At 42.3% G+C, this 27,708-nt stretch overlaps 2 protein-coding genes across 6 annotated transcripts in view, besides 3 other annotated features; one reads left to right on the top strand and one right to left on the bottom strand.

Annotated features, from left to right (window-relative positions):
- Positions 1-7,099, top strand: part of GPR19 (G protein-coupled receptor 19) — a 56,357-nt gene extending 49,258 nt beyond the window's left edge. For 3 of the 5 annotated variants that reach the window (XM_011520623.4, XM_011520624.3, XM_047428741.1), the window contains one exon: positions 5,490-6,844. In XM_011520623.4, coding sequence (XP_011518925.1) covers positions 5,490-6,788 — 1,299 coding nt within the window. In that variant the 3' untranslated portion in view covers positions 6,789-6,844. Of the gene's footprint in view, positions 1-1,271; positions 1,407-5,489 lie in introns of those variants that run through there. The other 2 variants (XM_047428742.1, NM_006143.3) reach the window with 2 other exon arrangements.
- Positions 3,950-4,199: an enhancer, noted in NCBI's record as "active region_6017". NCBI's record gives its function as "activates an Ori minimal core promoter by ATAC-STARR-seq in GM12878 lymphoblastoid cells {active_cell/tissue: GM12878}" and the evidence as "EXISTENCE:reporter gene assay evidence [ECO:0000049][PMID:35858748]".
- Positions 22,394-22,453: a silencer, noted in NCBI's record as "silent region_4260". NCBI's record gives its function as "represses an Ori minimal core promoter by ATAC-STARR-seq in GM12878 lymphoblastoid cells {active_cell/tissue: GM12878}" and the evidence as "EXISTENCE:reporter gene assay evidence [ECO:0000049][PMID:35858748]".
- The window catches only part of CREBL2 (cAMP responsive element binding protein like 2), a 33,233-nt gene continuing 28,405 nt past the window's right edge, over positions 22,881-27,708 (bottom strand). The window contains exon 4 of the mRNA NM_001310.4: positions 22,881-25,995. Within this exon, the coding sequence (NP_001301.1) occupies positions 25,991-25,995 (5 nt within the window). The 3' untranslated portion in view covers positions 22,881-25,990. The remainder of the gene's footprint in view (positions 25,996-27,708) is intronic.
- Positions 23,478-24,677: an enhancer, noted in NCBI's record as "BRD4-independent group 4 enhancer chr12:12796246-12797445 (GRCh37/hg19 assembly coordinates)". NCBI's record gives its function as "activates an origin of replication core promoter dependent on BRD2, P300/CBP, MED14 and CDK7 cofactors, and independent of BRD4, by STARR-seq in HCT116 cells {active_cell/tissue: HCT116}" and the evidence as "EXISTENCE:reporter gene assay evidence [ECO:0000049][PMID:35650434]".

Genomic DNA, 27,708 nt, shown 5'->3' with positions numbered 1-27,708 from the left:
ATCTTAAGAGTATATGTCCTTTTTTGCCTTATTTTCAAGTATTGGATAATTTTTACTAACATATCCACCCATTCATATATTCATTAAACCTTTTTTAATAGCTATGTGCCCCAGGGATATAGAAGTAAAGACATAGTCCTTATCCTCAAGGAACTCATAACCTAATGGGGGAGACAAACATGCAAAATAAAAATTACAAAGCAAAGTGATAGGGTACATTCTCCTCCCAGGTGCCCCAGGATCCCATCATTACAGGGGTAACCAGTCCCCAGTTCTTTTTTTTTTTTTTTTTCTAATTGAGATGCAGAGTCTCACTCTCACCCAGGCTGGAGTGCAGTGGCGTGATCTCAGCTCATTGCAACCTCTGCCTCCCGGGTTCAAGCGATTCTCCTGCCTCAGCCTCCCATGTAGCTGGGACTACAGGCACATGCCACCACGCCTGGCTAATTTATGTATTTTTAGTAGAGACGGGGTTTTGCCGTATTGGCCAGGCTGGTCTTGAACTCCTGACCTCAGGTGATCCGCCCGCCTCAGCCTCCCAAAGTGCTAGGGTTACAGGTATGAGCCACCATGCCTGGCCCCCAGTTCTGTGCTATGACAACCCATCTACCATTTTCCCCACTCATGTATTAATCTTAAAGCTTGGATGGGTGAGAAGTAGATAATAGGATAAATGAATGATTCCTCTTTTAGATCATATATAGGTAGAGATAAATAAGGACCTTCAATACCTCAGCCAAGGGAGTATGTCAAATGGTAGTCTCAGAACTGGCTGGGAAGAGATAGGTCGAACAGGAAAGAGGTGAAGAAGCCTTTCTTGTCACTGCTAAAATTACTGCATATGGATGGCTCTGAACAGAATTACTAATTAACCAGATCTTATATTTCAGAAACACCCCCTTGAAGATATATTTTTATCTAAATTAATGGAGCAGGGGAGGCCTTTCTGAAACTTTACTTTGGGACCCTAGAATTTAGTTATAATATGGCAGACTTTTTTCTGGGAGGAAAGTGCAAGAACCTGTCTGAGGACACCTAAATTACCTTGGCTTTCCCTTAGATGAGATATCTGTTTCATATAGCAGTTGACCTGGTAGCTTCAGTTTCACCTGCCCTGCTTTTATCAGGAGTCATGTTTTCCCCTATCACCATAATCCCCAATGTTTCACCTCTCTGAGAATATATAGTGATTTTCTATGTGCATTTAATTCTCCTAGCAGAGGCACATAGAGTAAGAGTCATTTATTTCAGTTCTCTGTCCTTACAGATCCAATTTAGTAAACATCGAATAAGCAATTATTAATGTAAAGAACTTCAGTGGAAGCTGTAGAGCATGGAGAAAAAGAATAACATCCCCATCTCCCTACTGGAGTCCACAGTTTATTGGAGAAGACAGAAACATGGAGGTATTTCTAAAGCACAGATCTTAATCTTGGCTACACTCAGGATCACCTGGGAACTTTGAAACATCCGACACCCAGGCTGCACTCCAGAGCAATTAAATTAAAATCCCTGAAGCTGGGACTCAGGCATCAATATTTCTTAAGGCTGCCTGGAAGACTCCAATCTACTGTATTGCTAAGCTAGAGAAAAACAAACTTGGAAAATGCTGCAGTAAAGGACTAACAAGATGCTGTATGAGCAAGGGTACCACAACCATTCTGGATATGCTAATATTCTTATCCACTGTCTGACCGCATTTCTGCCCATGAATGCAGCAAATATAACCTCTCATTGTAACCAGGGGAAAAATTTAGATCAGTTTGATTGTAGGGCATTTAGAAACTATATACTCTGGGAGGCATGGTCTGAAGGAAACTATGTTTCTGAGGGGAAAAGGGCCCCAAAAAAGATCAACCCAGAAAAATGACCCCAAAATTCAATCCACATGCTATCTCTCTCCCCTGGAATGTTTTATTCACTTGTCTTCCTGAAGAAGTCCTATTCATCCTCTAAGCTCCCAGCTCAAACTTTACCTCTTCTGTGAAGCCTTTCCTTTTCTTCCCCTTACCCGGGCAAAACTGGGTCCCTATTTTTGTCTTACTTAGCTCCTTGTACAAAGTTCTGTTCTTAGCAGTGAATTATAATTATTATCAAATTGAGTTATAATATGGCACACTGCTTACGTATCTTTGTTTTCTTTTTTTTTTTTTTTTTTTTTTTTTTTTTGAGACGGAGTCTGGCTTTGTGCCCCAGGCTGCTCGGCTCACTGCAAGCTCCGCCTCCCGGGTTCACGCCGTTCTCCTGCCTCAGCCTCCCGGATAGCTGGGACTACAGGCGCCCACCACCATGCCCGGCTAATTTTTTGTATTTTTAGTTGGACGGAGTTTCACTGTGTTAGCCAGGATGGTCTCGATCTCCTGACCTTGTGATCCGCCCGCCTCGGCCTCCCAAAGTGCTGGGATTACAGGCGTGAGCCACCGCGCTCGGCCGATCTTTGTTTTCTTAATACCTAGCCCAGTTTCTCGGCTTATTGAATGAATATTCAGAACTGCAGCGATTTTAGGTGGAGTGAGAACTTATGCCACCAGCAGGGGAAATCTAGACTCAGGAACTCCTCGGGCTCCCTCGTCCTGTTTCTGAGCATTGGGATCCTCTGCTTCCAAGTGGTTGGGCTGGGGAAATGGGCAGACAGACTCATGGGTGTAAAGCAGCTGGAGGAAATGATGGAAGGGCCCCCCGCCTCCGGGCTTTAGTTAAAGCGGTGAGCTTGAGTTTCATTTGCAGAGTTTTGTTGTTAGAGGAAGAAAGAGACAGAAGGAAGTTCACAGGTTTTCAAGTATGCGCATTAAGGAAAAGTGCCTGTGTGGACTCCTGTTTTATTCAGGCCACAGGCATCCCAGAAAAGTTAGAACAGTTTTCTGTCTGGGGAAATTGTCTGTTTTAGTTTATTTTTAAACTTTAAATCTTAACAGGTTTTTTAAAAAGTTTAATAGGTTTTACACACATGAAGGCGAAAAGATGATTTCAATCTTATATGTATGAGGGTGCAGTCCAGATTTTCTAGGACAATGCTAATTTTAGATCTTATGTCCTGATTTCTTTTTTTTTTTTTTTTTTTTTTTTTTTGAGATGGCGTCTCACCCCGTCGCCCAGCCTGGAGTGCAGTGGCGCGATCTCAGCTCACTGCAACCTTCGCCTCCCGGGTTCAAGCGATTCTCCTGCCTCAGCCTCCCGAGTAGCTGGGACCACAGGCGCCTGCCACCACGCCCGGCTAATCTTTTGTATTTTTAGTAGAGACGGGGTTTCACTGTGTTAGCCAGGATAGTCTCGATCTCCTGACCTCGTGATTTGCACGCCTTGACCTCCCAAAGTGCTCGGATTACAGGCATGAGCCACCGCGCCTGGCCCTGATTTCTTATATGGAAAGTGTATGGTTGCTATTCTTACCATTGGCTATCATTTTCCCAGCATGCTTAAAGATCTTTTAGTAGTCAAAATGTTTAATTATTTTTGCTTTCTGTGTGGTGAGCAAAAACTTTTTTTTTAATTTTTAAAATTTTAATTATCTTACTTAAGCTTTCTTAAGTAAGGTTGCCTCATGGACAAAAAAGCCTAAAGATAATATAGAACAGGCATTGAGTATATTGCCTTGAGCACTAGACTTGTATTGAATATAGCTTTTTGGTGAAGATTATATATATTAACACTTCTTTCTCTACCACAAATTAGTACAAAAATCCCTCAAAGAAAAAATGAGGGCTGGGCGCAATTGCTACACCCGTAATCCCAGCACTTTGGGAGGCCAAGGCGGGCGAATCACTTGAGGTCAGGAGTTCAAGACCAGCCTGGCCAACGTGGGGAAACCCGGTCTCTACTAAAAATACAAAAATTAGCCAGGCATGGTGGCACGCGCCTCTAGTCCCAACTACTCGAGAGGCTGAGACACAAGAATTGAACCTGGGAGGGGGAGGTTGCATTGAGCAGAGATCGCGCCACTGCACACCAGCCCGGGGGACGGAGCGAGACTCTGTCTCAAAAAAAAGAAAATATTAGTCATTAAGAACCGTTCTTTCATTATGAACTATTATTTAATCCTGACTGTCACTTGAGAAATGTTTCTTTGTGAGGTGCAGACACAGGAGCCCACCAGGAAAGAAACTAGTGACTACTAGAAAAGCCTGTTGCTGGAGCCACATCCCCTTGTGCCACAGGCCAGATGGAATCTCTGCAAAATGGTGGCTGTAACCCCACATGGGCTTTTACTTTTAGTGGGCACATTTTTGAAAATATTAATGTTTATCCTTATCTTACCTTAATAACCATAATTATTATGGTTATTATGGATTAAATTGCTACTGTTTCTCTTTTTGTTTCCTGGATTCAGACCAAATTAAGCCTTTATAATCTGTGAGCAAAATCACCTCAATTTTAATTGAATGACCCACAACTATTTAATCTTTTTGCCTATTTAAACAGTGTGACTTTTTTTCTCACTGAATAATACAAAAAGTACAAAATAAAGGCTAAACTTTAAAATATTCTTTTGTATCTAAGATTTGTAAGCTTTATAAGCTTTTAAAAAGTGCTTAGTAATTTTAAGTTACTTTTTTTTTTTTTGAGATAGGGTCTTGCTATGTTGCCCAGGCTGGATTCAAACTTCTGGACCAACTGATCCTCCTGCTTCAGCCTTCTGAGTAGCTGGGACTATAGGTGTTCCCCACTGTGCTTAGCTAACAGTTACATTTTTTTGTTGTTTTTAATCACCTGACTGCCATAAGGTCTCCCGTAACCTGGTTACATTTCTTAGAGGACATCTTGTATGTTCTTCAGTCAGTATTTTATGAAACAATAACAACAGAATAGCATCAAAATATATGTCACTGGTAGGTGGCAAGCTATTAGTGCATGAACTGTATCGTCTTTTAGAAAAAGCAAGCTATTTTCAGATGTCATTAAATTAGGAGCTATTTCTGGCTCATGTAGCAGTGTTGACTGCTCCATGTGTTACCATAATCCTTCTGTGATGGAAAATCTACACTAAGTAAGGACAGCACCCTTCCCAGTAGCTAGCCTGTCTACATTCACAGACTGCTGTTAGCTACTTCCATAGTCAAAATCTGTGTGTTTTCATCTGCCCAAGCTTTCCTCTTTTGCAACCTTAGGACAATTAGGAACTTCTCACATACTTGCCCAGAATTCCAGCAGATCTTCAGTTGGTGGTAACACCGTTACCATGAGCCAGATTTGAGATCCCTAATATTCTGTGATCCCTGATGAGTGAAGGGAACAAGGATATGTGTAGGAGGGGAGCTCGGTATGACTAAGGGTCAAGAGAAGGTGAGGCCAGAGAGAGCCTGAGCTGAGATCTGCTGAAACAGCTCCTAAAATGAAAACAAAGTTGGGGCCAGAATTTTTTCTGGATAGTAGTTATGTTTTCCTGCCAACGCTCAAGTCCTACACAAAGACAAATGACAATCAATGTAAATGTCAAATAAGATCGTTAGCCTGAGTAATCATAACCAATCTGTATGACACCTTTTTAACAGGAGGCCTCATTCTTCTTTTCCCCAACCAGAATTAAGAGAAAAAAAGTGAATATGGTTTTTGCTCACAGAATGGATAACAGCAAGCCACATTTGATTATTCCTACACTTCTGGTGCCCCTCCAAAACCGCAGCTGCACTGAAACAGCCACACCTCTGCCAAGCCAATACCTGATGGAATTAAGTGAGGAGCACAGTTGGATGAGCAACCAAACAGACCTTCACTATGTGCTGAAACCCGGGGAAGTGGCCACAGCCAGCATCTTCTTTGGGATTCTGTGGTTGTTTTCTATCTTCGGCAATTCCCTGGTTTGTTTGGTCATCCATAGGAGTAGGAGGACTCAGTCTACCACCAACTACTTTGTGGTCTCCATGGCATGTGCTGACCTTCTCATCAGCGTTGCCAGCACGCCTTTCGTCCTGCTCCAGTTCACCACTGGAAGGTGGACGCTGGGTAGTGCAACGTGCAAGGTTGTGCGATATTTTCAATATCTCACTCCAGGTGTCCAGATCTACGTTCTCCTCTCCATCTGCATAGACCGGTTCTACACCATCGTCTATCCTCTGAGCTTCAAGGTGTCCAGAGAAAAAGCCAAGAAAATGATTGCGGCATCGTGGGTCTTTGATGCAGGCTTTGTGACCCCTGTGCTCTTTTTCTATGGCTCCAACTGGGACAGTCATTGTAACTATTTCCTCCCCTCCTCTTGGGAAGGCACTGCCTACACTGTCATCCACTTCTTGGTGGGCTTTGTGATTCCATCTGTCCTCATAATTTTATTTTACCAAAAGGTCATAAAATATATTTGGAGAATAGGCACAGATGGCCGAACGGTGAGGAGGACAATGAACATTGTCCCTCGGACAAAAGTGAAAACTATCAAGATGTTCCTCATTTTAAATCTGTTGTTTTTGCTCTCCTGGCTGCCTTTTCATGTAGCTCAGCTATGGCACCCCCATGAACAAGACTATAAGAAAAGTTCCCTTGTTTTCACAGCTATCACATGGATATCCTTTAGTTCTTCAGCCTCTAAACCTACTCTGTATTCAATTTATAATGCCAATTTTCGGAGAGGGATGAAAGAGACTTTTTGCATGTCCTCTATGAAATGTTACCGAAGCAATGCCTATACTATCACAACAAGTTCAAGGATGGCCAAAAAAAACTACGTTGGCATTTCAGAAATCCCTTCCATGGCCAAAACTATTACCAAAGACTCGATCTATGACTCATTTGACAGAGAAGCCAAGGAAAAAAAGCTTGCTTGGCCCATTAACTCAAATCCACCAAATACTTTTGTCTAAGTTCTCATTCTTTCAATTGTTATGCACCAGAGATTAAAAAGCTTTAACTATAAAAACAGAAGCTATTTACATATTTGTTTTCACTCAACTTTCCAAGGGAAATGTTTTATTTTGTAAAATGCATTCATTTGTTTACTGTAGTTTTTGTGGGTTTTATTTTACTTGCTTTTTATGTTTTAGGAAAAGCGTTCACTTTGAACTTTAGCCAACAGTCCTTTTACTATTAATATATTAGTTACATGCATAAAAAAGAAAATGCTTTCTTACTATTTACTGTTGGTTCAAAAACATAAACCTAAGCCATACACACAGTCTTTGATTAATGATTCAATCTAGTTTTATTTTGTTTTCTTTTTCTCCTCCTTACTGAATTTTTATAACTATGGGCTTCAGTTCCAAATGAAATCCCCGTGTCACCTATCTCAGAGATTTATATTTCTTTCACTAAGCAACATTTAGGATGAGTTAATATTGTATAGGTTGTCACGTTACCTTCCTCCAAGTAACCACTAGCCAGATCTGCTATGGAAAGCACGCCATATATTGGAACTTGCTGGCAAGTCTTCTGTGGTTGGATTTTAATCAGGATTCTTAGGGGAAGAAAGCATACGAGTTGCTTAATTTCTCTTGCTCTTTCTCTTGTTTTTATCCTTCCTTAATCTAAGCAGCTGATGAAGCCTTGAAAAATGCAAAGTTAATGCAATGTTTTCCTCACACCTGTGTCCCATCTAGGCTGTGTCTAGGACATTCACCTCCCATTTTTGAGTTATATACAAGTAAATGAGCAGGTGCTGTTGCTAGCATATCTAAAAAATGCCAAAGACAGAAATGACAGATGGCATTTCTCTGTGCTCTGCAATTCAAGCCGAGACTTTCAGCTGCGCAGCACTACCCTATACACCAGGACAGCAAGGGCAAGGACTGTCTTCCTCATTCTTGTAGAAACTGGAGGCCATTTCTCTAGCCAGAGCCTGTTCTCCCTCATCTCTCTCCAGAGCACAGCACCATACCCTGGCCAACCTCAAACTCTTCTTTGCCTGTGATAACTAGGGAATTTTTTTCCTCTGGTTCCCAGATCTCCATTATTTCAAATCGAGGACCAGCCAGCACATTTAAAAAATGTTTTTATTTAAACAATAAAGGGTTTACAGACAAGACTGGTATGCATTTTCACGCCCTAGTTAACAAGAGCTGCAAATAATAACTCCAGTTGTTCAGCAATTCTACATGCATTATCTCCTTTATCCTCTCAATAATTCTGTGATATATTTATTATCATCCCTTTTATAGATGAGCAAACTGGAACTCAATAGTTATGTGACCTGCCCAAGTTGGAATGTGACAGAGCTGGTATTCAAACTCGAGCCTCTAACCGCATGTCTGTCTGTTGCTCTTTCCTTGACATTTCAGATGTCTCCCTAGACGACACGAGGCGCCAAACCCATCCAGGCCCTGAAGGGGCCTCCTGACCACTGCCTTGGTGGAAGTCAAAGGTCTAAGAGAATGTGGCCATTCTTTTTTCTTTTTTTAATTTTTTTTTTTTTTTTTTTTTGAGACAGAGTCTCACTCTGTTGTCCAGGCTGGAGTGCAATGGCGTGATCTCGGCTCACTGCAACCTCTGCCTCCCGAGTTCAAGTGATTCTCCCGCCTCAGCCTCCCAAGTAGCTGGGATTACAGGTGCCCGCCACCATGCCAAGCTAATTTTTGTATTTTTAATAGAGACGGGGGTTTCACCATGTTGGCCAGGCTGGTCTCGAACTCCTGACCTTAGGAGATCCGCCTGCCTTGGCCTCCCAAAGTGCTGGGATTACAGGCACGAACCACCGCACCTGGCCTCTTTTTTATTTTCAATTTTAAAAAATCAGCTGAATTTAAGGTTCACTGGTGATTCTTAAAAAGGGTCTAGTTGAAATGTAATGAGCTGGCCTTCACCTGTTCCTTGGCTGTAGCTAGGTTCTTGGACTTGTGCTGCGGAATGTTTGCAATAAGGAGGGAAACCTGTGCCTTCCTACCTCCCAGACACAGGGGAATGAGACAAGATTACGTTTTGATATTTGGAACAAAGAATAACAAAATATTTAATCTACAAAACATTTACAGAGCTGATGTTTTTAAGTTGAGATGCTTTGTTCAATTGCAGATTCCAAAGAGAGAAATAATATATCATATTTTTCTTTCTCCCTTTTCCCATCCTCCTCACATTCTTATCCCATCAGCAAATGGCTCTAAAACAGCAAAATGTGCCAGATATTTACCTCACTTAGCCCTTGAATTTCATGGTTCAGACTTGTTAAAATGTAGAAGAGATCCCTGCCGTAGTTTTATTGTCTTTTTAAGTGAAATATTATTTTTTCGAGTTACAGTGTGAAAAGTTTAATTTGTTTCCATTTTGTTTTTATATATTTATAGGTCTCGGTTTAAACTGAAAAGAATTACACTAGGTGATTTCTAAGCTCTATTGTGTCTAACGTTCTGGGAGTTTACTACAGTAGGTGGATATTCAGTGAGACAATGTGATACAAGCTCTTGTGTAAACAGTTTGTTTTTTTTTTCTTTTTGAGACAGAGTCTCGCTCTATCACCCAGGCTGCGGTGCAGTGGCACGATCTCAGCTCACTGCAACCTCCATCTCCCAGGTTCAAGCAATTCTCATGCCTTAGCCTCCCAAGCAGCTGGGCCTACAGCCATCACACCCAACTAATTTTTGTATTTTTAGTAGAGACAGTGTTTTCCCATGTTGGCCAGGCTGGTCTCAAACTCCTGGCTTCAAGTGATCCACCCGCCTCAGCATCCCAAAGTGCTGGGATTACAACACGAGCCACCATCCCGGCCAGAAGGTATTTTTTAATCCCCCAAATAATGACAAATTAAGAGTATTAAGTCACAGTCAAGAGAGCCCCAAAGTCGTGTGACCTGTATTAATTCAGCTATGTTCTCTCAGGGTGTTGGTAATTCACTGTATTTTTGTTTAGCTTAATATTCAGCATTCCTGGTGTTTCTCTTATCCTGAATTTGGAAGAGGCTTTACATAATGCACAGATGGATGAAAATTTGCTTAAGTCCCTCAACACAAGAACAGCATTCACTACATCTCACATTTACTCCACAAGAACCAGAATTAAGCCACAGGGAGACAATGAGGTGCACCACACACCCAGAATCATGTGGCCCTTCAAACAGGAGTACAAGAAAGGAAACAGTTGGAAGCAGGCTCCACAGTAGAGGCAGTTCTCCTACCTGGCTCCAGGTTCTCGTAAACCGTCGGTGAGGAGGGAAGGGACAGGGATGCATCCTTTGAGTGGAATCTGAATTCTCCCTTTCTTCTCATCTTCATCGAATACGTTAATGTCCAGCCTGCTGCTGAGTCAATAAGCACATCCTGCACAGATGCGCTTGCCTGTGAGCCTTTCATCACAGGCTTAGCCCCCATGCCCGGAGCTGATACCCCGGGCCAGACTTCTCCCTCAGGAATGACAATTTTGTCCTTGGTGGAGGCCCATCTCCACCAAGCATGTGGGGAGTGGAGTCGTTTGCCAGAGAGTGCTGGCAATTTCACCTCCCCCTGTGGGCACAGACCCTCTTCCGCCCTTCCATCTTTGCTGCCATTTGCACAAGCTCACTCTGAAGTCACATAACCAGGCTCAGCTGGGGAGACCTGACCAGGATCCGCTTCCAGGTTATGCTCCTCTAAAAACCATATGTAAAAGAAGCAAGGAATTAGACACTTTCAGAGCAGAAGGGATGTTGGGAGACCCAGGCCAAGCCCTTCATTAGTTAGAAGCGGAAATTGAGACCAAGAGATGTGAAGTTAGGGCTAACCTGCAATGTCCCCTACCCACCGGTTAAACTTTCTTTCTTTCTTTCTTTCTTTCTTTTTTTTTTTTTTTTTTTTTTGAGACGGAGTCTCCCTCTGTCCCCCGGGCTGGAGTGCAGTGGCGCGATCTCGGCTCACTGCAAGCTCCGCCTCCCGGATTCACGCCATTCTCCTGCCTCAGCCTCCTGAGTAGCTGGGACTACAGGCGCCCACCATCATGCCCGGCTAATTTTTTGTATTTTTTTTTTTTTATTTTAGTAGAGACGGGGTTTCACCGTGTTAGCCAGGATGGTCTCGATCTCCTGACCTCGTGATCCACCCGCCTCGGCCTCCCAAAGTGCTGGGATTACAGGCGTGAGCCACCGCGCCTGGCCTCAACTTTCTTTCAACTTTACCATTTGGCTTGCTGTGGCTTTATTTATATATTTATTTATTTATTATTATTCAAGATGGAGTCTCACTCTGTCGCCCAGGCTGGAGTGCAGTGGTGCAATCTCAGCTCACTGCAACCACCGCCTCCTGGGTTCAAGCAATCCTCCTGCCTCAGCCTCCCAAGCAGCTGGGACTACAGGCATGCGTCACCACACCCAGCTATTTTTTGTATTTTTAATAGAGACGGGGCTTCACCATACTGGCCAGGCTGGTCTTGAATTCCTGACCTCGTGATCCACCCACCTTGGCCTCCCAAAGTACTGGGATTACAGGCGTGAGCCACAGCGCCCGGCCTGATTCATTTATTTTTTAATACATTAGTTTTATTTATTCCTCAGCACTCTGGGAGGCCAGGCAGGCAGATCGCTTGAGCCCAGGAGCTTGAGACCAGTCTGGGCAACATAGTGAGACCCCTCATCTCTACAATTAGCCGGGTGTGGTGCGTGTGCCTGTAGTCCCAGCTACCCAGGAGGCGGAGGTTACAGCTGAGATCTGCCACTGCACTCATCTTGGCTCACTGCAACCTTCGCCTCCCAGGTTCAAGTGATTCTCCTGCCTCAGCCTCCTGAGTAGCTGGGATTACAGGCCCCGTGCCAACACGCCCTGCTAATTTTTTTGTATTTTTAGTAGAGACGGGGTTTCACCATGTTGGCCGGGCTGGATGTATTCGATTTTTAAAAATCCAAACTGTGTGCAGGAGAATATGAAAGGAATACATAAGCCTTCACTGTTCATTTAACCTGCTAATTCATCTGTGAAAATGATGACCTTAGAGTGCCATAATTAGAGAACAGTGGAAACAAACCGACTTCCTCTAACAGTTTTCCAGAATGACCGCTTGATGGCACTGTGACTTGTGGGCAGAGCCCACCACCTCTTCACGATGCCTGTCACACTGGCGAATTCAGGGAAGTCCTCGTCTCATAGCAACAAGACAGGGAAAATTGCTGAGCACCCAGAAGCAGCTGTAGATTAAGTAATCAATCAGTGTGTTCAAAACACAAAGCATTTAAACACTGGAGGAAATTCCAAAATAATACCCTTTTCAGACATGAAATCACTAGTCAAAATATTGTTTTAAACCCATTCTACAAATGTGATCATTTTCAAAAAACTCCATCAGACCACCAAGCTGGCATTAGTGCCACCCACACTTGCCAGGGCCTGTCTTTTCCTTTTCCGCTCTTTTCATCATTGACTCAGAGAATTCATGGACTTTTTCATCGCAGTGTATCTAGAGTTTCCCTACAAGTGAATGTTCATATGCTGCTGGTAAGCAGGCAGTTAAATGTATTTTAAAGTAAGCCCCTACAATCCGGGCCATTCTGAACTTTTTTGGACAATTGAACACTTCAAGAGCTCTATATTTTCTTTCTCAGAAGAAGCCTCTTTTATAAATATATATATATATTTTATTTTTTAGTAGAGATGGAATCTTGCTTTGCCGCCCAGGGTAGTCTTGAACTCCTGGCCTCAATGATCCTCCTGCTTTGGCCTCCCAAAGTGCTGAGATTACAGGTGTGAGCCACTGGCCTGGCCAGAAGAAGCTTCTTTAAAAGAATTGCTTTACAGACTCTCTGTGAACCCTAATTAAGTTCTATGTGTAGGGTTATGCAATTTGGATTCACCAATAATTTGAAGAATGTGTGAGTTTAGTTCCACAGAAGAAAGACCTCCAACAAATGCTGGGCTCTGCAGTGAGGAGTTCGCATGTATCTGGTTTGAGGATTATGATGCAGGTCTGGAGGTCTGGGAACATAGGCTGGTTCCCAGCAGGCAGTCAGGAAGGCAGTTCCAGTTATTTACCCACAACCCCTAGATATAGATTCAAACTCCTTGAGGGGAATTCTGAATGAATCCTCTCTATTCTGTTTCCCTGCAGTATCTTCCAAAGAACAGTCTCCTTTAAAAGACTACTGTACATTTGGCCAGCAGGACCCTGACTATGCTTGCTCAGGAAGGACAATAAGACCATAGCATAGACCGCTGGACAACAAAATAGTAGCTGTGAAGAGTTGCATGGTGGGGAGGATGGCAGCACAACAGCTGAGAAGAACGGATGGGTCTCTGCTCATCAGTCAAGGGTCATTTCACTTCCATGCTATCTGGTTCTCTAAGCAGATGCACTGCACTTGAATGACCCTTTACAAATCAGAAAAAAAAAAAAGGTACAAAACTCCAGTGAGATAGGCAGCCAGCACAGTTGTCCTTAGTTACAGAATAGTATAATGGTTATTTTCAAGGGCTCTGGAGCCAAACTTTTTGGGTCCATGTCCAGGTTCTGCTTACCAGCTATTTAAGCAAATTGTTCTCAGACCCCGCCTTCTCCATGATTAAAATGGGGGAAATAACAGAACTTACCCATATTAGGGTTCTCCAGAGAAACGGAACCAACAGGAAATATGCATAGATGATGGTTGGGTGGAGAGTTACTCTTAGGAACTGGTTCATGCAATTATGGGTGCTGCTGGCAAGGTTGAAATCTGTGGGGCAGGCCAGCAGGCAAGATTTGATGCTGCAGCCTTTGTTTGTTTATTTTTTGGAGACAGGGTCTCACTTTGTCACCCAGACTGGCTGGAGTACAGTGACACAATCTCAGCTCCCTGCAGCCTCAACCTCCCATGTTCAAATGATCCTCCTGCCTCTGCCCTCCAAATGTAATAGCTGGGACTACAGTTGCACACCACCATGTCCAGCTAATTTGTCTTGTTTTGTTTTGTTTTGGGGCTTTTTTTTTTTTTTGGCAGCTTAAAACCACACACATATATGATCTCATAGTTTCAGTGGGTCAGAAATCTGGACACAGTTTAACTGCTTAACAGTGAATCTTCTGATTCACAAGGCTGCAATCAAGGTGTCAACCAGGATGGGGTCTCATCTGAAGGCTCAACTGAGATAGGATCTGCTTTCAAGCTCATGTAGTTGTTATCAGAATTCAATTCATCAAGGGCCTCAGTCCCTTGCTGGTTGTTGGCCCTCAACTCCTTGCACATGGGCCTCTCCAGTATGGCAGCTTGCTTCATAAAGCATCAAACGAGAGGGGCTGCTATCAAGACAGAAGTTGCTATCTTATGTAACCTAAGCATGGAAGTGACATTCCATCACCTTTCCTGTGTTCTGTTGGTCAGAAGTGAGTTATAGCTCTTGCCCATACTCAAGGGGAGGGGCCAAGCAAGGGTGTGAATATCAGAGGCGGGGAAATGGGGGCCATTTTAGAGGCTGTCTGCCCCAACAAAATGACATGTGGTGAAAACTAAATCTGTCTCTTACCCTAGGCTTGTCTCCCAGTACCTCTCTCTAGAGGTAAAGGTTATTGAGTTTGTTGTTGTTGTTGTTGTTGTTGTTGTTTGTTTGTTTGTTTTTTGAGATGGAGTCTCGCTTGGTCACCCAGGCTGGGGTGCAGTGGTGTGATCTCAGCTTACTGCAGCCCCTGCCTCCCAGGTTCCAGTGATTTTCCTGCCTCAGCCTCCTGAGTAGACTAGCTGGGATTACAGGCATGTGCCACCACACCTGGCTAAGTTTTGTATTTTTTTAGTAGAGATGGGGTTTCACCATGTTGGCCAGGCTGGTCTCAAACTCCTGACCTCAGGTGATCCGCCCACATCGGCCTCCCAACGTGCTGGGATAACAGGCGTGAGCCACCATGCCTGACTGGTTTTGGTTTTGTAGAATGTTTACATCTTTGCTCATCTAGAATTAATTTTGTCAAAGGAAAGAAGTATTTAATTTAAAATGGGGGCCGGGTGTCGTGGCTCACGTTTGTAATCCCAGCACTTTGGGAGGCCGAGGCAGGCAGATCACCTGAGGTCAGGAGTTCGAGATCAGCCTGGCCAATATGGTGAAACCCTGTCTTTACTAAAAATACAAAAAATTAGCCGTGTGGTGGTGCACACCTGTAATCCCAGCTACTCGAGAGGCTGAGGCAGGAGAATCACTTGAACCTGGGAGGTAGAGGTTGCAGTGAGCCCAGATAGCATCACTGCACTCCAGTCTGGGTGACAGAGCGAGACTCCATCTCAATAAATGAATGAATAAATAAATAAATAAATAAATAAATAAATAAATAAATCAAATGGGAACTGGCCAGGCACAGTGGCTCACTGTGGATCACGCCTGTAATCCCAGCACTTTGGGAGGCCAAAGCAGGCAGATCACTTGAGCCCAGGAGTTTGAGACCAGCCTGGGCAACATGGCAAGACCCCATCTCTACAAAAAAATTAACTGGGTATGGTGGAGCATGCCTGTAGTCCCAGCTACTTGGGAGGCTGGGGTGGGAGGATCACTTGAGCCTAGGAGGCAAAGGTTGCAGTGAGCTGAGATCATGCCTTTCCACTCCAGCCTAGGCAACAGACCAGACCCTGTCTCAAAAAGAAAAAAAAAAAAAAAAAAAAAAAAGAATCAGCCTCTATAGTACTGAAGTATTTTTGAAATATATTTATTTCATTCAGGCCATGAAAGGACCTAACGAACCATCTCAGCTCAATATTTACATGTACCTCTTTGACAACTAGACTTTTGTATGCCATATTCATAGTCTCTTTCTGAAGAGTGCTGAATAAACTCTACCACCTTCTGACTCTTTTGATTTCCATTTTCTTTGTTCTGATCATCCTCCATCTAGTCATATATTCTCATAAGAGGGCAGAATTGGTTTGTACTTAATAAATTATATCACATTTAGGTATGCTTTCTTGAGAGTCTACCAAAGTCACCTTGATTGGAATTTAGGAAGTTCTACCAAAGCTCAGTCATTTGTTTACTGATGATCTCTGGTTTATTCCACAGTTAACTGCATTCATTTGTTGTGGTAGACATTGTTGGTTGTACTTCCTAACAGCCACTCCCTTCCTTGCCAACAGCACTGATTTTGTTCAGGTGTGAAGTAGCAATGAAGTCAAGGTTAGTTGGTTTTAAGGGATTAACTGTGTTTAAGCCAATCATGGCAATTCCATTCCCTCTTATCAGTGAATGGCTTATTGGTGTTCATCTAGCCCAAACTTCTGGCCAATGAGATGTAAAGATAAGTCTGTTGAGGGGGCATCTGGGAAAGGTTTTTCTCCCTGATAAGATGAAGTAGTGAGGCAGAAAAATAGGGTCTGGAGGCAGGGAACATAAGGCTGATTCACATTTCAGCTATGACAGGAAATATCCTCTCCATAGGGCATACACTGAGTAAATGACTTTGTAACTTTACTTCATCCTCTTCATTTACATAGGTCGTACCCCAAGTAGAGGGTATTTAAGCTCACAAAAACTCTGTTAACAGAGTCTTTGAGCCCCTGTGCACAGGCCCGCTCCCACACTGTGAAGTGTACTTTCATTTTCAGTAAAACCCTTCATTCTTTCCTTGCTTTGTTTGTGCGTTTTGTCCAATTCTTTGTTCAAAACGTCAAGAACCTGGAGACCCTCCACCATTAACAGTAGCAAGAAAAAACTCCTTTTCCTCCTTAGATCATGGTTGTGAGAGTGATGCCTGGAGCAGTTGTCTTACAACCATGAGTGGGTAAGCTGAGGGTGACAGCCAATCTGCAGAGGATGGTGGAGCAGAAGGAAGGAAAGATTCTGGGTTTTTAATGTCATTTTTTTTTTTAAGTAAAAGCAAGTTTATTAGGAAGGTAAAGAATAAAAGAATGAACTGGGCACGGTGGCTCACACTTGTAATCCCAGCACTTTGGGAGGCCGAGGCGGATGGATTCCTTGAGGTCAAGAGTTTAAGACCAGCCTGGCCAACATGGTGAAACCCCATCTCTACTAAAAATACAAAAATTAGCTAGGCATGGTGGCGGGCACCTGTAATCCCAGCTACTTGGGAGGCTGAGGCATGAGAATCACTTGAACCCAGGAGGCAGAGGTTGCAGTGAGCTGAGATTGCGCCACTGCACTCCAGCCTGGGCAACAGAGCGAGACTCTTCCTCAAAATAAGAAAAAAAAAGAATAAAAGAATGGCTACTCCATAGACAGAGCAGCCCAAGGGCTGCTGGTTGCCCATTTTTGTGGTTATTTCTTGATTATATGCTAAATAAGGGGTGGATCATTCATGCCTCCCCTTTTTAGATCATATATGGTAACTTCCTGACTTTGCCATGACATTTGTAAACTGTTTAATGACATTGTTGAGCCACTGTAGTCCTCAGACTTATTATGTGAGATAGGTCTTTATTATTTGTCAATTTTAGTTGTGTATTCTTTACTTGCAGCCAAGAGATTCCTAACTGATATCCCATCTTTATGCCATATATGTTATCCCATGATGTACAATTGGCTCATACACACTTGCAAGAGCCAATCCTAAATTTTCAAAAACTTTGGGAGCTGGTTAAGAACACAGTAGCTTGAAACCAACTATGGTGGGAATATTTCCACCCCAGAAATTGGCAAATACTACAAATTAGGCCTCCCCTCAACCAAGCGTCAGGTGTTAAACATCTATCAGTACACAACTGGTTACATTTTTTACTAAAAAAAAAAAAAGCTCCTAAAAAGTCATGTTTACTTAAAATGATATTGGCACATATCAGACTTGTAGAGCCATTCTGTTTTCATCTAACCTAATAACAAATGGATAAGCACATTTTAGCTTGATGTTTTGTGTCACCTCCAGTCACATAATGGTATGCCTAATGATCTGAAAACATTAATTTCACTAAGCGTGGTCATTTAAAGGAAGCTGGGAATGGTAGCTCACACCTGTGATCCCAGCACTTTGGGAGGCCGAGGCAGGAGGATTGCTTGAGGCCAGGAGTTCAAGACCAGCCTGGGCAACATAACAAAATATCTCTACAAAAATTTTTTTTAAAAAATCAGCCAGTTATTCCCAGCATATCCATAATAGAAATTAAAAAGAAAAAAGTAGCCAGGTGTGGTGGCACACACCTGTAGTCCCAGCTACTTGGGAGGCAGAGGTTGGAGAATCACCTGAGCCCAGGAGGCAGAGGTTGCAGTGAGCCGAGATCATGCCACTGCACTCCAGCCTGAGTGACAGAGCAAGACCTTGCCTCGAAAATAGTAATAAATAAAAATAAAGGAACCCTGTGATGAGTCCCATGTATTTGGAACCATCTTCCCCAATTTCCTACTTCAAATATATCTAGCTGGTTACCCCTGTATCATCTAAAATGAGTTATCATCTCCTGAGCCCAGATTTATTATGGTTTGTTTCTTACACTAGTCTGTATTCTTCTGATTTGTGCTGAAGTCTCCCTTCTCCCCACTATTTCAGGAAGAGGACTGTTGCACTACAGTCAGCTTTAAAGACATTTTATTGGTTATTGCTAGGTAGATTTCTTACTCTGCCTGGTTCAAAAGGCTCATGGGCACATGGGTTTTTCTTTTTTTGTCTGGAGTGGCAAAAAGGTGAGGTTACTCCAACAAGAAAACAGGCATTGCCAGCTTTCATCTTTGCTTTGGCTCCTGATATGATTTGGATCTGTGTCCCCACCAAATCTCATGTCAAATTGTAATCCCCAGTGTTGGAGGTGATGTCTGGTGGGAGGTGACTGGATCATGAGGGCAGAGTTGCACCATCCCCCCTTTGGTACTGTATAGTGTGAGTTCTCACAAGATCTGGTTGATTTAAAAAGTGTGTAACATCTTCCCCACCCCTTTGGTCCTGCTTCTGCCATGTAAGACACCTGCTCCTGCTTTTTCCTGAGGCTTCCCCAAAAGCAGATGCTGCCATGCTTTCCATACAGCCTATGGAACCATGAGCCAATTGAACCTCTTTTCTTTATATATTATCCAGTCTCAGGTATTTATTTATAGGAATGTGAGAACAGACTAATACAGAAAATTGGTACCAGAAGTGGGGTATTTCTATAAAGATACCTGAAAATGTGGAAGCAGCTTTGAAACTGGGTAACAGGCAGATGTTGGAAGAGTGTGGAGGGCTCAGAAGAAGACAGAAAGATGAGAAGGTTTGGAACTTCCTAGAGACTTGTTAAATGGTTGTGACCAAAATGCTGATAGTGATATGGAACAGAGATGGCCAGGCTGATGACATCTCAGACAGAGATGAGGAACTTAACTGAGAACTGGAGCAAAGATCACTTTTCCTATGCTTTAGCAATGAATTCGGAGGCATTGTGCTCCTGCCTTAGGTATATGTGGAACTTTGAACTTGAGAATGATGATTTAGGGTATCTGGCGGAAGAAGTTTCTAAGCAGCAAAGCATTCAAGATTTAGCCTGGCTGCTTCTAACAGCATATGCTCATGTGCATGAGCAAAGAAATGACATAAAACTGGAACTTATATTTAAAAGGGAAGCAAAGCATAAAAGTTTGGGAAATTTGTAGCCTGGCCATGTGGTATAAAAACAAAGCCCATTTTCAGGGCAGGAATTCAAGCCCACTGCAGAAATTTACTTAGTAAAAAGCAACCAATTGCTGATAGTCAAGACAATGAGGTTAAGCCCTCAAGACATTTCAGAGATCTAAGAGACAGCCTCTCCCATCACAGGCCCAGAGGCCTAGGAGGATTGAATGGTTCCATGGGCCAGGTCCAGGGCCCTGTTGCCCTGAATAGCCTCAGGACTCTGCTCCCTGCATCCCAACCACTCCACCTCCAGCTATGGCTCAAAGGTGTCTGGATACAGCTCAAGCTGGTGCTTCAGAGGGTGCAAGCCATAAGCCTTGGCAGCTTCCACATGGTGTTAAGCCTGCAGGTGCACAGGGTGCAAGAGTTGAGACTTGGGAGCCTCTGCCTAGATTTCAGAAGATGTATGGAAAAGCCTGGATGTGCAGGCAGAAGCCTGCTGTAGGGGCAGAGCCCTCATGTAGGGTACTGAGGAGGGAAAGTGTGGGGTTGGAGCCCCCACAGAGAGTCCCCACTGGGGCACTGCCTGGTGGAGCTGTGAGAAGAGAGCCACCATCCTCCATACCCTGGAATGGTAGAGCCACCAACAGCTTGCACCATGCACCTAGAAAAGCCACTAGCACTTAACACCAGCCCATGAGGGCATCCATGGAGGCTGAACCGCAGGGGCAGAGCTGCCCAAGGCTTTGGGAGCCCACCCCTTGCACCAGTGTGCCCTGGATGTGAGACATGAAGTCAAAGGAGATTTTGGAGCTTTAAGAGTTAATGACTGCCCAGCTGGGTTTCAGACTTGCATAGGGCCTGTAGCCCCTTTCTTTTGGTTGATTTCTCCCTTTTGGAGTGGGAGTATTTACCCAATACTTGTACCTCTTTTGTATCTTGGAAGTAACTAACTTGTTTTTGACTGTACAGGCTCATAGGTGGAAGGGACTTGTGTTGTCTCAGATAAGACTTTGGACTGTGGACTTTTGAGCTAATATTGGAATTAGTTGAGACTTCGGGGGGCTACTGAGAAGGGGATGATTATACTTTGCAATGTGAGAAGGACATGAGATTTGGAGGGGCCAGGGGCAGAATGATATGGCTTGGATCTGGTCCCCACCAAATCTCATATCAAAATGTAATCCCCAGTGTTGGGAGGTGGGGACTGGTGGGAGGTGACTGGATCATGAGGGTGGAGTTCCCATGAATGGTTTAGCACCATCCCCCTTTGGTGCTGTATAGTGAGTGCTCACAAGATCCGGTTATTTAAAAGCGTGTGGTACCCCCGATCCCTGGTCCCAATGCTGCCATGCAAGATGCCTGCTCTCACTTTGTCTTCCATCATGACTGTAAGTTTCCTGAGGCCTCCCCAGTCATGCTTCCTGTACAGCCTGCAGAACCACATGTGAGCCAATCAAACCTCTTTTCTTTATAAACTACCCAGTCTCAGTTTTTGTTTTTTTTTTTTTTTTTTTTTTTTTTTTTTGAGACAGAGTCTTGCTCTGTTGCCCAGGCTGGAGTGCAGTGGTGTGATCTTGGCTCACTGCAAGCTCTGCCAGTTATTTCTTTACAGCAATGAGAGAATGGACTAATATAGCCCCCATATGAACTATCTTCCTCCTTCTGAAAGAAGGCTTGGCCATCTTTTGGTTTTCTTTCTTCCTTACTTTTTCAACATTCTCTCTCTTCCTTTGTGGCAGCTGAGGCCTGTCCTGGCCTGAGAATGAGCAGGTTTAGAGGTATCTATTTATTGCCACAAGTCTTGTACAAACTTTTCTTGTGGTGCTGACAAGCATGGTCTCTGTTCCATTTAAGAGGTAAGATCTGAAACTCAGTGTGGGCTTGGGACAGCCTTTTGGCCTATTTCATTCTGTACTATTCAAGCCTACCTAGCTTAGGCACATGTGTTGTCACATCCAGCCCATGGACTTGATTACACAAGGGGATAAACCTGGACTCAGGTTTATAATGTGCTTGCCAGGCACTGCTGTCCTTCTCAGGAAAGGGTTGCCGAGGCATAGTAAGATTGGATTGGGATCTGTTGGATCATGGGAAAATTTTCCTGCCCAAATATTTATCTTACTGCAAAGTCAAAATGGCCTGTAAGCCAGAGTTCACTGTCCAGCTCCAGCCCTCCTCAATCCAGGAGTGTCTGGTGAACTGTATCACAACACAGTAGGTGTATTAGTTGTGCCTGCTTTTATGCTAAGGCTTAAGAATTCAGCTGATTCGGCTGGGCGTGGTAGCTCACTCCTGTAATCCCAGCACTTTGGGAGGCCAAGGCAGGCAGATTACCTGATGTGAGGAGTTCAAGACCAGCCTGTCCAGCAATGGTGAAACTCCATCCCTACTAAAAATACAAAAAATTAACTGGGCGTGGGGGCGCATGCCTGTAATCCCAGATACCCAGGAGGCTGAGGCAGGAGCATCACTTGAACCCGGGAGGTGGAGGCTGCAGTGAGCTGAGATGGCACCACTGCACTCCCGCCTGGGTGACAGAGCAAGACTCCATCTCAAAAATAGTAATTCAGCTGATTCACTTCCTAGTCATTTCTAGAGTTGGACTGTGTATTTTTCTGTGACCCGTAACAGTTTCTGAGTCAGAACTACCATATGTCTGTGAACCAATCTGAATTTGATACGGACAACTCCAAGCTGCCTACAGCTTTATAAAAAGAGTTCTTCCAGGTCTATGTGTCCTTTAATCATACACATTTTAGGACTCCAGTGTGCCTGCTCTGGGAAATGCAATGCTAGCCTACATCGGGCCTTTTTCAGTGGTGTGTTAGAAACTGACTGAGGGGGTGGGGGATCCACAATTTGCAGCATTTACTAACTTCTATGATACAAATACTCCTACCATTGTCCATTAAAAGCTACCAACCTGATGTCACTGAACATCAAGTTGGGAAGAGATGCACACAATTGGTTCTCCTCTGGGGAGCCAGCAAAAGCCAGCTGCAACACACCACGGCTTTGCACATTTTTAAAAAGGCACCCCCTGGTGGATGTATTAAGACAGGTATCCCCTTTGGGCAAATTAGAAAAAGACACCTCTTCTGGGGAGACCTGTGCCACATGTACACCTTGGTGAGAAGGCAAGAGCCCCTTCCTCCACACGTAGCTTGTTGAGGGGAATGTGAACTAGATTTTAAAGTCCATTCGCCTCCTTAACTATGTACTTTTGTGCAGTGCAAAATCAGCACAACTTTACAAGGCAGTCCTGCCACTGATTCATGACCATCGTGTAGTTAAATAAAACGGATGGAATAGAAGACAGCCAAGTTACCTAGCAGCCTGAAAGACTACTTTATGTGGATAATTATAGGATGATATTGCCAGTTGAAGTATTAGTTGTTCTTAAAATTAGTCTAATTAATAGAAGGCTATTATTGATAAAAAGGGCCCCCGACTATACCATTCCGAAGATAGACATGATATAGCTAAAAAGACTTGGGAAATGTGATACCTACAGTACCACATATTTAGAGTCCAACTCATTAAATATATTGATCTTTAGTGACTTAAATGCTAACAATAGTCAAACACAGGCATAATGTGAATATTTAAATTTAATGTAGTTCTTCCCTATTTAACAGTTTTCTGTAACTCCTATTTAGCCTACCAATTACCCTGTGAAAGTTATCCTCCCCCCTTTTTTACAGATGAGAAAGCAGGCTGAGAGATCAAATAACTCAAGGTGACTCAGAAAATAATTCAAGGTGACTCCTCCTTTTAAAACTAAATATGTAATGGATAATATGCAACTGATTTCTTGTGAAATATAACATTTATGTTTTTAGATTTTCTTTGCCTTTAACTCAAGCTAAGTCCAGTTTAAACCTGTACTTTTTGTAATTAGCCAAATCAAATGATCATAATTCAAAGATGCTAAAACAGAATGCTACATAGTGATGCTGAGAAATACTGTCAATTAGCCAGCAAACAGTAATCTGAATTTGCGCAGGATGATCATTCTAATTTAGATATAATGGAAAGATTTTAGATAAAATAGAAAACTTTTTAAAGAAATTCAACTATATCCTAAAACTTGACCTGGTCAAACTTATTCCATATTATATTCAGTTGCTCTAATATACAGCAGGTTGATACTAAAATAATGACAGAATTTGGCTGGTCTAAACATACAAATATATTTTCCCCCTTTTCTTTCTTTGGGAAAATAAGAAAAAAAACATTACTCTGTTTACTCAGAAAGCAAGGAGAGCAGCACCTTCTCCTGGACTCCGTGACTGTCAGCCATCTTGTCATCACAAAAAGGTGAGGGGTGCCAGGATTTCACTATGCTGCTCCTTCACTGGAAAGGGAAGGAAATGCTCCAGCTGTTTTAATCAGTGACATTTATTAACATGCTTCAAAAGTGACCAAAGTGTCCAGCCAGCACAATAGCCGAGGCAATCAACGTTCTCTTAGTGTGTGATCTCCTCCAAAACACCAAATAAATAGGTTTAGGAATAACCTCAAATAAATTGTAATTTAACTTCGCCCAAAATTATACATCCTCTACTGCTCTTCCCTGCTCCTGTAAAGATACTAGCGGGAGGGGAGAAAGCTCAAATGACTCTGTAATTTAGAATTACAACCAGAGAAGAAATACTTCAAGCACAATAAAGACGTTCCATTGAAGAGCGACATTCATTCTGGAATGTTTGTTTTGAAAACAACTCTTCTGGGGGAATTCAAAAGGTACTGAACAAAGCAACATAAAGTAAGTTTTGGGTTGTTTTGCAAAATAAAAATATACAATTGAGTGGACCAGATGGCAAAAACATACCAATTACAATCTGAATGCTATATTTAAAACCCTTAAATTCTGAAGGCCTGAATATCAACAAACCTATTTATGTTTATGATCCTAAAAAGACATTAAATATTATTAAACCCCCAACTTCCAAAACATAGAGACCCAGCAAACTGGGCTAGTGGTATCTCAGTACACAGTCACACATGACTAGACTAGACTAGACTAGACTAGACTAGAGATCTGAGTTTGCAACCAAGTACAAGAGGTCTTTAGGAGCTCAGGCTAAGGGAGGCACTTTATTCAAATGCATGGCCTGAGAGAAGAGGGAAAGTACCTTGTAATCTTAAACTATGTGGTCCATCATATATTCTACCTCAAAGACAATCTAGACTACGGTATCTCCTCTTAAACTGCCAGTTCAGAACAAAATATACTTTATTTGGAAGCTAAATATTTGCTTCACTCAAGTGAAGAATAATTTAGCAGCGACAGAGAACACAACTCCTGTTTTAACCATGGGAAAGAGAAGAGAGAGTGGTAAGTATCTCGCTGGGGAAATCAAAAGATTTCTGGGTCTGTCTGGGTGTATCATATTATGAGCTTGATTCTTCAACCGTCACTCCATTTGGTAGTCAGGGAGAAAGTAAGTGTAGCTGCAAGGGGAAATGGAAAGAACTACCCTGCCCTTCTGCACCCCCAGCCAGGCCCACTAGCTGCGGTGCTGTGCACAACTCCAGTTCCAATGCTTCCCTCCACAGTGGAGGCATATCCAGGGCTGAACCAGATGCACGCCCACAGTGTGTTTCTGGCTCAGAGCCTGTCAGGAAATTCATGTCTGGGAAGAAACTAAGTGTTCTGGTGATGGCTACAGTCAGTAGATCTACCAGCAATTTGTCCCTTTTTTTGTTTCAGATTTTAAGGCAGAAACTCAATCTCAGCAGCTAATTTCATCCAATTTTCTTCAGAAACATTCTCCAATTTAGTTGAGTACGCAAGAAAAGTGTGTGAACATTCACTCCTGTCCTCCCCACATACATATATAGACATACAATAAGAAACATACATACATATATACCCTAGATTGTCAATGTATGCTGCTGAAATGCCTGAAAGGTTACTTTTCACTTAAAAATAAAATTTGATGAATTATTCTGCAAGTATGGATTTGGCCCTAGCAAATTTTTATAAATATAGTTTGAGAGGACAGCAACAAAGGTTTTAACTAGAAGCTGTCTTGAGGGTTTTCCTGATAGATATTGTTAATATGTATGTTATTTAAAACAGGCATATCCTTATGGATTATAAAAATAGAAATGTATATATTTGTTAATACATATTCACAGCTTATGCTGGAATGGCTCACAGGAGAAATCATGGTTCATGCAGAGAATAAACATTACTCAAGTAAATAAAAATAAGATTAGGTCCATAAAGGCTGAGAACTTATAGTCAGTAATCAGCTCATTTGGTTTCTCTTTGTAGGGCAATCAAAAACATGAAAGGTGGTGACACATAAAACACACACAGACATACAATTACATGAATTACATGGAAAGAATATAAATTAACCAATAAAGCAATGTGGAGTTAAGGTGCAAAAATACAATCTTCATCGATTTTCTCTACTCCTGTGTTTTCAAGCATCACAACATGTTAAATGTCATGGGTGGCAATACCAACCCAGACAGGTCTGAATGTTTGTAGATTTTCTAAGTGTTGAAAGTTAAAGCAAGATCCTTTGAGATCTACGATCACACATTTTGGTAGAAATTGCAGATTTACAGAGATGACTACTGAGCAGTAGGTAGTAAATGGAGCCAAGAAGTACACTCTTGCCCATCCATCTTCCATGGGAATCAGAATATTGGCTTCAATCACTGACTCATCTTTATATAATCTTCACCCTGAAAAATAAAAGTTACCAATGTAAGAATGTTTTTAGAGTCAATAAAGTTTGATTAATCTGTTTTAAGATGCATAAATTTTTTTTTTCAGTTTAGTATCTTCAGTAAGGCTAATTTTTAAAAATACAGACTAAAAAAAAGCTGATTTGGCTTTTTTCCATTAATTTAATTTAGATGAAGCCAAATGTTTTAATTTTTAAACATTTCAGTAGCTTTTGGGGTAGAAGTGGTTTTTGGTTACGTGGGTGAATTGTATAGTGGTGGAGTCTGATATTTTAGTGCACTTGTCAACCTAGATGAAGACAAATGTTATCTAATAAAAGTTATCAAAAAGCCGATTTCTTCAATTTTGTAAAAAATACTGAAAACATAAGAAGTTTGTTCTAGATGGGCGTGGTAGCTCACACCTGTAATCCTAGCACTTTGGGAGGCCAAGGCGGGTGAATTACCTGAAGTCAGGAGTTCAAGACCAGCCTGGCCAACATGGTGAAACCCTGTCTCTACTAAAAATACAAAAAATTAGCCGGGTGCAGTGCCATACACTTGTAACCCCAGCTACTTGGGAGGCTGAGGCAGGAGAATCGCTTGAACCTGGGAGGCAGAGGTTGCAGTGAGCCAAGATCGTGCCACTGCACTCCAGCCTGGGTGACAGAGCGAGACTTCTTCTCAAAAAAAAAAATATTGAAACATTGTTCTGTGCTCCCAGAGGTTGACCTAAAAAAAAAAAAAATAAAAAAAAATAATAATAATAATAATAATAATAATAAAGGTTTGTGACATTTCTTTATAGCTATTTAAAGTGCTCCCAGAGCAATCACAATAATGAAGAAATCAACATAGGACATATTCATTTTAAAGTCTTTCCAGTTTCTTCAACAAATGTTGCTTGGACAACTAGATACTCACATGCAACATATGGACTCCCACTTTATACCATATAGAAAAATTAATTCAAAATGGATCAATCACCCAAATAAAAGAGTTAAAACCATAAAATTCTTAGAAAACATGAGGCAGGTAAATCTTCATAACTGTGCATTTGGCAATGGAGTCTTAGATATGACACCAAAAGCATGAGTAACAAAAAAACAAAAATAGATAAATTGGACTTCACCAAAATTAAAATATTTTGTGTATCAAAGAACACTATCAACAAAGTGAAAAGAAGCCTAGAGAAGGGGAGAAAATATCTGCAAATCATGTATCTGATAAAGGTTTTATAACCACAATAAAGAACTCTGTTGCGGAAACTCAGGGACCCTGAACAGAGGGACCGGCTGGAGCCGCGGCAGAGGAACATAAATTGTGAAGATTTCATATTAATATGGACATTTATCTGCTCCCAAATAATACTTTTATAATTTCTTATGCCTGTCTTTACTTTACTCTTAATCCTATTATCTTCGTAAGCTGAGGATGTATGTCACCTCAGGACCACTGTGATAATTGTGTTAACTGTACAAATTGATTGTAAAATGTGTGTTGGAACAATATGAAATCAGTGCACCTTGAAAAAGAACAGAATAACAGTGATTTTTATGGAACAAGGGAAGAAAACCATAAGATCTGACTGCCTGCTGGGTCAGACAAAAAGAGCCATATTTCTCTTCTTGCAGAGAGCCTATAAACGGACATGCAAGTAGGAAAGATATTGCTAAATTCTTTTCCTAGCAAGGAATATTAATATTAATACCCTGGGAAAGGAATGTGTTC

This window comes from Homo sapiens, chromosome 12 (assembly GCF_000001405.40).
Source record: "Homo sapiens chromosome 12, GRCh38.p14 Primary Assembly".
Lineage (NCBI taxonomy): Eukaryota > Metazoa > Chordata > Mammalia > Primates > Hominidae > Homo > Homo sapiens.
Note: the sequence above shows the minus strand (reverse complement) of the source record. Positions and strands in the feature narration are given on the sequence as shown.